The sequence below is a fragment of the Homo sapiens genome, chromosome 2, assembly GCF_000001405.40.
Source record: "Homo sapiens chromosome 2, GRCh38.p14 Primary Assembly".
NCBI lineage: Eukaryota > Metazoa > Chordata > Mammalia > Primates > Hominidae > Homo > Homo sapiens.
Window position 1 is genome coordinate 147,706,222 of NC_000002.12, and position 8,220 is coordinate 147,714,441.

An 8,220-nucleotide genomic window follows, 5' to 3' on the forward strand; every position below is an offset into this window, starting at 1 on the left:
CTGTCCTATTGAGTTAATAAGGGCACTCAAAGCTCTTTTTTAAAGTGCCTTAATAGGCCGGGTGCTGTGGCTCACGCCTGTAATCCCAGCATTTTGGGAGGCTGAGGCGGGCAGATCACTTGAAGTCAGGAGCTTGAGACCAGCCTGGGCAACATGGTGAAACCCTGTCTCTACTAAAAATACAAAAATTAGCCAGGCATGGTGGTGGGCATCTGTAATCCCAGCTACTCAGGGAGGCTGAGGCAGGAGAATCGCTTGAACCCAGGAGGCAGAGGTTGCAGTGAGCCGAGATTGCGGCACTGCACTCCAACCTGGGTGACAGAGTGAGACTCCATCTCAAAAATAAATAAATCAAATAAAGTGCCTTAATACATTCTAGCAGAATGTGAATCTAACATTATGTCTTTTCCTGATAGAAAAAGATCTGCTACATGCTCTCTTTCTCCACACCCCAACACCACTAACATTTGGCCAGAATAATGTAGAGAAAACTCTTCATTCAGTAAGTAAATCACTGTTTACTCTACACACACAATTCAGAACAATTCACTAAATGTGGCAAATCTAACTGTCCCCTACACTGGGCTCCCCAAGGGCAGATATCAGGTCCTATTGTTTTCCTTTGTGCTGCTGGGTGCTCAAAGCACAGCCTTTATGGATTCACTGAGTGGGTCCTTGCAAGCTGAACATTGGTGTATTTCAACTGTAAGGAAACTGTTTTCTTTCCCTTGACTATTTCTTCTTCATGTTCTCTGTTCTTTTGTTCGGAACATGTTGGACCTCTTGGATTGGTTCTTTTATCTCATGTGTTTTCATATATTTCCATTTCTTTTTATTATGACTTTACATTCCTGGAACGTTCCTCTACTTCACTTTCTAGCTCTTGCACTAAATGTTTTTATAGGCAATAATATTTTTATTCTTTAGAGCTCTTACTTTTCTGTTGCTTTTATGTAATATTTTCTTGAATCTCTCTGAGTGTTTTTTAAAGTTTTATCCTGTTTATAAAGATCTTGGTTTCCTTTAAATTTAGGGATTATTTTTTCTGTTTATCTTGATCTTTCTCTTTCATGGTGTTAGTTTTCTTTGTATTCCTTCGCTGTCCTATCACACTTAAGAAAAGGGGATTAAGAGGCTGCTGAGGGTTTCACTGCTGCTGCATAAGCCAATCTATTTCTTGGAAGAGTTCTCCCCTAAATTGGAAACCTAATAGATTTATTAAGCTATGTGTCCATGGATAAAACATAAATTAGCAAGCTTCATGGATTAGTCCATTTTGTATTGCTATAAAGAAATACCCAAGGCTGGGTAATTTATAAAGAGAAGAGGTTTATTTGGCTCACAGTTCTGTAGGCTGTACAAGGAGCACACCAGCATCTCCTCTGGTCAAGACCTTGGGAAGCTTACAATCATGGCAGAAGACAAAGAGGGAGAGGGCACATCACATAGCAAGAAAGGGAGCAAGAGAGAGGAGGAGGTGCCAGGCTCTTTTTAATAACCAGGTCTTATGTGAACTGATAATGTGAGAACTCACTTATCACTAAGTGGATGACACCAAAACATTCATGAGAGATCTGCCCCATGACCCAGTACCTTCTACTAGGCCCCATTTCCAACACTGGGGATCATATTTGAACATGAGATTTGGAGGGGACAAACATCTCAACTATATCTCTTCATTTAGGAAGTGAGGGTACGAAGCCCACTCGGAGGCTAAAGACACTACCACTACCCAAACTCCCAAACAAAGAATAAGAAGGTCTTCCCTCCAGGGGCACCAGTACCCACACCAACTGTCCCAACTGTCCTACAAGGGTTTGTTCAATTATTTAAGAGATGAGGTCTCAGAATATCTTTCTGGGAATAAATGGCCCTTTAGGTCGCTAGTGATAAAAACCAATTCACACTAGTTTAGGCAAAAAATAAAAATAAAAAAAGCCAACATTATTAGCATAGGTGCACAATCTCATTTCAGTTCTGATATCCAAAGAGCTCTGAAAACCAAATGTTTTTTTCCAAGCTTGGGGCTGACTCTTTAGGTGGCAAACCTGACCTGAATTGATTGCAGCTATTATGATCTTGGTTCATCTTAGTGTGAATAGCCAGAGGCTTCACTGTAGAAATATGAAAGGCTCTGATTGTGAGGTGTTATCCCAGATCTTTCTAGGGTATTATAATACGTAAAATGTATATTCCTCCAAAACACCTTTCTTTCAAAGGGTTATCTCAAAACAAAAAAATTGGCTACTCAAAAGGTAAACTGAAAAAAACAAAAAACCTGATTTCCATTTTTAATAGTTGTATTTTAGTAGTAATTTTGTTGTTGAAGGTTTTGTTGTTTGGTTTTGGATTTTTTTTTTCAATTTATACCTATAAAGGTTTTTGGGTGTTTTTTTAAGTCTTAAGACTGAGTACAGTAAAATTACTGGTAATCCGTTAATCTATTTTATCACTTTGAGCTGACTGTATGTTGAGTTTTCTTGCCCCCTTCCTAATTTTTTTTAGGCCTGGATCAGTTCTTTAAAGAACTGACTCTATGTCTTCTGACATATGTATAATGGTGAGATAAATTAACTTAAAATCTATAATGAAAGATCATGGTGAAAAAAATATGATAATAAAACTTTCATTTAGAAATGGCTTCTCACCCAGAGCCATTCATATCAGCTACATATAATTCACTAGTTATCTTAGCTGGTCAGAATCATATTTCCAGTTGCATGTGAAGTCATAAAGCAGAAATCCGATTAGCCTCTCTCTTAACAGAGCCCAAAGCTATTAATAATAAATCCAAGAGACATAGTTTAATTAAAAAAAAAGCTAGAAATTATTGTCAGACAGAAATCACCTAATAAAAAAGTAATTTATAATGTACACCCTAATTAATAATTTACCTCCTAGGGTGAAAAAATATCAAGAGTAATTACAATTAGAACACACTATTTCTTTTTTAACAATAATAGGATAATACTCAGAAGCTAGGGGAATATCAAGTAACAAATTCAACTGCTGCTATCATTCCATTCTGTCAAAACTTATGCTTAATTTTTAATGCTTTTCTTTTAAACACAGAGGTTCCTTTGCCTCAGCTCACAGTCCGCTACACTGGTCATTGTGACTTCATAAGTGTTAAAAACTTCTAAACATAGTCTGGTATAATTCTATCTAAAAGAGATATCCACTAATTTAAAAGAATTTGAGAAACAAGAACCGAATGCTTAAAGCTTAGATGAAAAATTTAAATTGGCTTAAATTAGGCCACATTAAATTACTAATCTAGAATCAATTTCTGATTAAACAAGAGACTTCAAGGAAGGAGATTAAATACAAACAACCTTCCCCAGACAATAAACATTATAAGAACAGGAATTTGATGCATAGTTTTCATTCATATCCCCAGCCTCTCACATAGTGCCTGGCAAAAATTATACACTTAAATATTATATTTTGGTTAAGTAAATGAATGATTAAAGAATGACAGAAAAATATATGTGAATATAAACAGCTGTGGTGGGTGCTCCAATGAGCTTTCCAGATCTCCCTTAATGAAAAGGACTTCCTCTCCCCAGCTGGGGGCAGATGCTGCTGGCTGATACCTCTCAGTGGGTAGCCCTCTTCATGGTTCTATTTATCAGTGAAGAGGCCACCTCACCCAAGATCACACCTTTTTCCCAGGATGGCCTACATCCAGGAATAGATATATGTAGCTGTAAAAGGCCCAGCCTCCCCAACCCCAACTCTGGAAAGGTGATCCTTGCTTCCAAATTCCCTATAGGGTTGTCTGAGAAATCAGCTGAAATTGCATCATAGCTCAATTTCTTCCCTCTGCCCAGTTCTGCCTTCTTCCATTTTCTTTGAATATGTTGATACCAAGAGAACTCCCTAATAAATCTGTTTGTTCATCTCCATTCCAGAGTCTGCTTCCCAGGGAACCCAACCTGTGACCAGATGTACCCTTTAGTTGAGAAAATTAAAGATTTAGAAAAATAAAATATTTTTAAGACATAATGCCCTAAGTCCTTTTGTCAATTACTGAATTTACAACTAAATTTAGTGAGTCAGTGAAGAAAGACTGGAGACGGCTGATTTCAGTTGAGACAGACAAAAATCATCACAGGCAGATAATCAGGCAATGCCATGTTGTTGGAAGTCAGTCTTGAAAACAAGTGTGAACCTAATTTGTCTCCTTGATGTGTGGCAGAAGTGGTACATCAAAGGATTATTGCATGGTCATCAACAACATGGAATTAGATGTCAAATGAAACTGCATTGGAATTCCTTATCTACAACTTATTGGTTCAGTGACCTTGGGCAAGTTACTTACCTTTCTAAGCCTCAATAATGGAGATGATAATACATAAAGTTATTGCAAAATACTTAACAAAGTAGCTAGCATATAGTATGCACTCACTAAATGGCAGACATACTTAATTTTTTAAAATATTGATTGCTAAGAAAGCAGAAAGATGATATCCTTCCACTCTCAGTCTCCCAACCTGAAAACTAAATGACTTCTATTATTGACAAGAAGAAAAATAATCCTCTACACCCTGGTTATCAGCACTCGGAAATGAGAACACTGAGTATTCACAAAGAAATTGAGGAAGAGGTATGGGAAGAACTTCAAACCTGTTTGCTTCTTGAAGGATAAGTAATGCATGGAGTATGCCCATTTGGGGACATACTGTCAAATATAGTACATGTCTTTTGGAATATGGACTGAGCTTTTATACTCACATGCAAAGAGTATGGACCAGCTCATCTTCATTGAAGATCTTGTCACTAAAACTAAGCATAGGAGACTTGCAACTTCCACCATGACACAAAAAAGGCAGTCAAAAAAATCCTCTGTCCCAAAAGCAAATATAAAGATGGATAATACACTAAAATGCAACCATCTCAGCACTCTGGAATTTGACCAGAGACATACAACAAACGGAGATGCATTTATTCCTGAAAACCACTTAACTTTGGATAAGAACAGCGCACGTCTCTGGAATTTTGCCTGGGGTAACTACCATCCCTCCTTCAGCTCTCAGCCCAGTAGATGAACCAGAGTGGGTCAGGCTGTGAAAATAATATGCTTTCCTGATGCTGCTTCTGCTGCTGCTGTTTCTGTTGCTGCTACTGCTGTTGCTGCTGCAGAGAACTCACTTGATTTAGAGCGTTGTTAGTAAAAAAGGAGATCTTGGAGGTTGGACATGGTGGTTCATGCCCATAATCCCAGCACTTTGGAAGGCTGAGGCAGGAGAATCACTTGAGGCTAGGAGTTCAAGACCAACCTGGGCAACACAGTGAGACTCTGTCTATACAACAAAATTTTTAAATAGCTGGGTGTGGTGGTGCATGCCTGTAATCCCAGCTACTAAGAAAGCTAAGGCAGGAGGATTGCTTGAGAGCCTGGGAGATTGAGGCTATAGTGAGCTACGATTGAGCCATTGCGCTCCAGCCTGGTGACAGAGCAAGACCCTATCAAAAAAAAAAAAAAAAAAGAAAGAAAGAAAAGAAAAGAAAGGAATGAAGGAGAAAAGAAAAGAAAAGAAGATCTTGGTGGCAAGAGAGGGCCAGAGCTACAGTAGCCTGATGTAATTGGCTTCTTTGAGGCAAAATAATGGACTGGCAGACTAGCCAGAGTTTTAACAGAGAGTTGTGGAAAATGAGACATCTAAAGTGGACATGATAAACTCTTCAAATATCCTGGATTGATCAGAAGTTATGCTACTCACACATTCCTGGTTGACATAGCTGAATTGAAGCACATGAAAAGGAGATTAAAGAAAGCCCAGAAGAAAGTAAAAGCTGGTGCAGGCTTGAAAATGGCCTGAAGTTTCAATACACTCCCCTGGCCTACACACAGGCCTATCAACAGAGAATTGAAACTATACTGGCTCAAGGTGTTCAAATACAACTTCTGACCAATAGTTGGCTGAACAATAAACCATGTTGACACAGATATGACTCCTAGGAAGCCAGGCTTAAAAATAAAAACAAGAAAAAATAAAACTGAGTAGAGGCATCTGGGGCCATACATTTCAGAGCAGACAGACTACAGATTTGGTCCAAGCAAGCTATTAAACAAACAATAATAAATACCTCAGAGGAAAAGGTCACAATTCAGAGTTGCTAAAGCAGATACCTACGATGTTTGGTATTCAACAAAAAGAAATTACGAGACATGCAAAGAAATAAGAAATTATGACTCATACTCAGGGGAAAATAGCAGTCAATAGAAAACTGTCTGAGAGAATGCAGATATTGGATTTAGCAGAAAAAAGCTTGAAAGCAGTTCTTATAAATATGTTCAAAGAACTAAAGAAAACTTTGTTTAAAGAATTAAAGGAAAATAGGATGGCAATGTTTGAGCAAAAAAGAGCATCTCAATAAAGAGATACATATTATAAATGAACCAAATAAAACTCTGGAGATGAAAAGTACAGAAACTGAAATGAACAATTCTTTAGAGGGTTTCAACAGAAGATGTGACATGGCAGAAAAATATGGAAACTTGAAGATAGATCAATAGAAATTATACAATCTGAAGAACAGAGAGAAAAAAAAGGTAGTAGAACAATGAAAAGAGCCTCAAAGACCTGTTGGTGCGCAGTATTAAACACAGCAACATATATGTAAAGGGAGCTTCAGAAGTAGAGGAGACAAAGAGACAGATAAAATTTGAAGATATGATGGGCAAAAAGTCCCAAAATTGAGAAAAACATTAACCTGCATATTCAGGAAGCTCAATAAACCCCAAGTAAGACCAACACAAAAAGATCTACGTATAGAAGCATTAGAGTCAGACTGCTGGATGACAAACACAAGCAGAAAATCTTGAAAGCATCAGGAGAGAAATGCCTCATCTTGTACAGGTAAACCCAATGCAACTAATGACTAAACAATGGAGGCCAAAAAATAGTGGAATGTCAAAGTATTAAATTTATTGAATAGTACTCTTGCCATGTGTGAATTTTATGGCAGATAAACAATAATTCAATAAAGCTGTTTAAACAAAAACAACTGAAGAGTGAAAGATCACGGCACAGAAATACTTGAACCACGTATGAAAGTATTCTGTCACTCCCATTCTCTCCTTTTATTTCCTCTTTCCCTTTTTCGATTCCCCCTTTTCCTTTATCCTCCATCACCATCTTTTCCTTCTCTCAGGCAGTGCCATCTGTGGCAGCTATAATCCATGGAGATTGCTCAGGCCCAGAAAAATAGAGAGGCTCCAAACCCTATCTTTGAGTGATAGATATTCTCCCATCCAAGTACTAACCAGGCCTGACCCTGCTTAGCTTCTGAAATCAGGCATGTTTAGGGTGGTATGGCCATAGACTGAGCATTAGATATTCTGAAATCAGCCTTCTCTGTGTTGATCATTCCCCTTTCTTTCTTAGAGAAAAAATTGTATTTCCATTGAGCAGTCTGACTTTATAAATCTTTATAAAAAAAGCACAAAAGAGGCAAGTTGGATATCCAAAAGTACAATTTCAGGATGCCTAGCATTCAAGGACAGCTTAAGAAATTTACTTGGCTTTGGCTCCACAATTTGGCACAGCAGTAATTTTTATGTAAACCTAGATGCCTCAACATAATGGTCAACTGTTCACAGTATGCTCTTGTTATTTATGCTGATATTTTATATGGAAAAAACTTGATTTACTTCTATGCATTAATTTGAAGCAAGTTTTAGAGAAAGAATTCCTTGAAAATCACCACATACTACAGGCAGCCTCTTTCTCTAAGATTAGTCAGATACAGGGGAAATTGGGCAGCTTTTTAAAATTAACACTGAAAATGACAGATAGGGGCTAGCATCAGGTGGGAAAAGTTACACAATGTTCTTGGAGCCTGGTGATGTTACTGTACTGGCTAAGCTGGTACACTTAGTTGGTGCAGTATGCTACAAGGACATTCAAATTAAGCTCCTTTTTACAGTGCCGAAAGGACATAATGTGATGCAGGCTTCACAAAACAAACTTTTATCAAAAGTGAAATATCAATTATTAGAATTCGACCCAAGCCAGCAGCTTGATCTGGTGGGGAAATCTAAGGCAGCAGGCCCTGATAGCAAAGCCTTGGGCTGAAAATCAAGAATTCATTCTGGTTCTACTGCTAAGCAGTTAAATAACCTAAAACACGGCATTTACATTCTTTGGACCTCAGTTTTCTCATCTGTAAAATGAAGGCTTTAGACCATCTACCCTAGGTCCCCTTTCAAGC

General features: G+C 38.0%; 1 pseudogene, besides 1 other annotated feature; it reads right to left on the bottom strand.

The window, feature by feature from the left end:
* Nucleotides 3,465–3,674: a silencer, noted in NCBI's record as "fragment chr2:148467255-148467464 (GRCh37/hg19 assembly coordinates)". NCBI's record gives its function as "represses an EF-1alpha promoter that drives an FKBP-Casp9 reporter gene in an ReSE screen in K562 erythroleukemia cells {active_cell/tissue: K562}" and the evidence as "EXISTENCE:reporter gene assay evidence [ECO:0000049][PMID:32094911]".
* RNA5SP106 (RNA, 5S ribosomal pseudogene 106) lies at nucleotides 7,234–7,333 on the bottom strand (annotated as a pseudogene).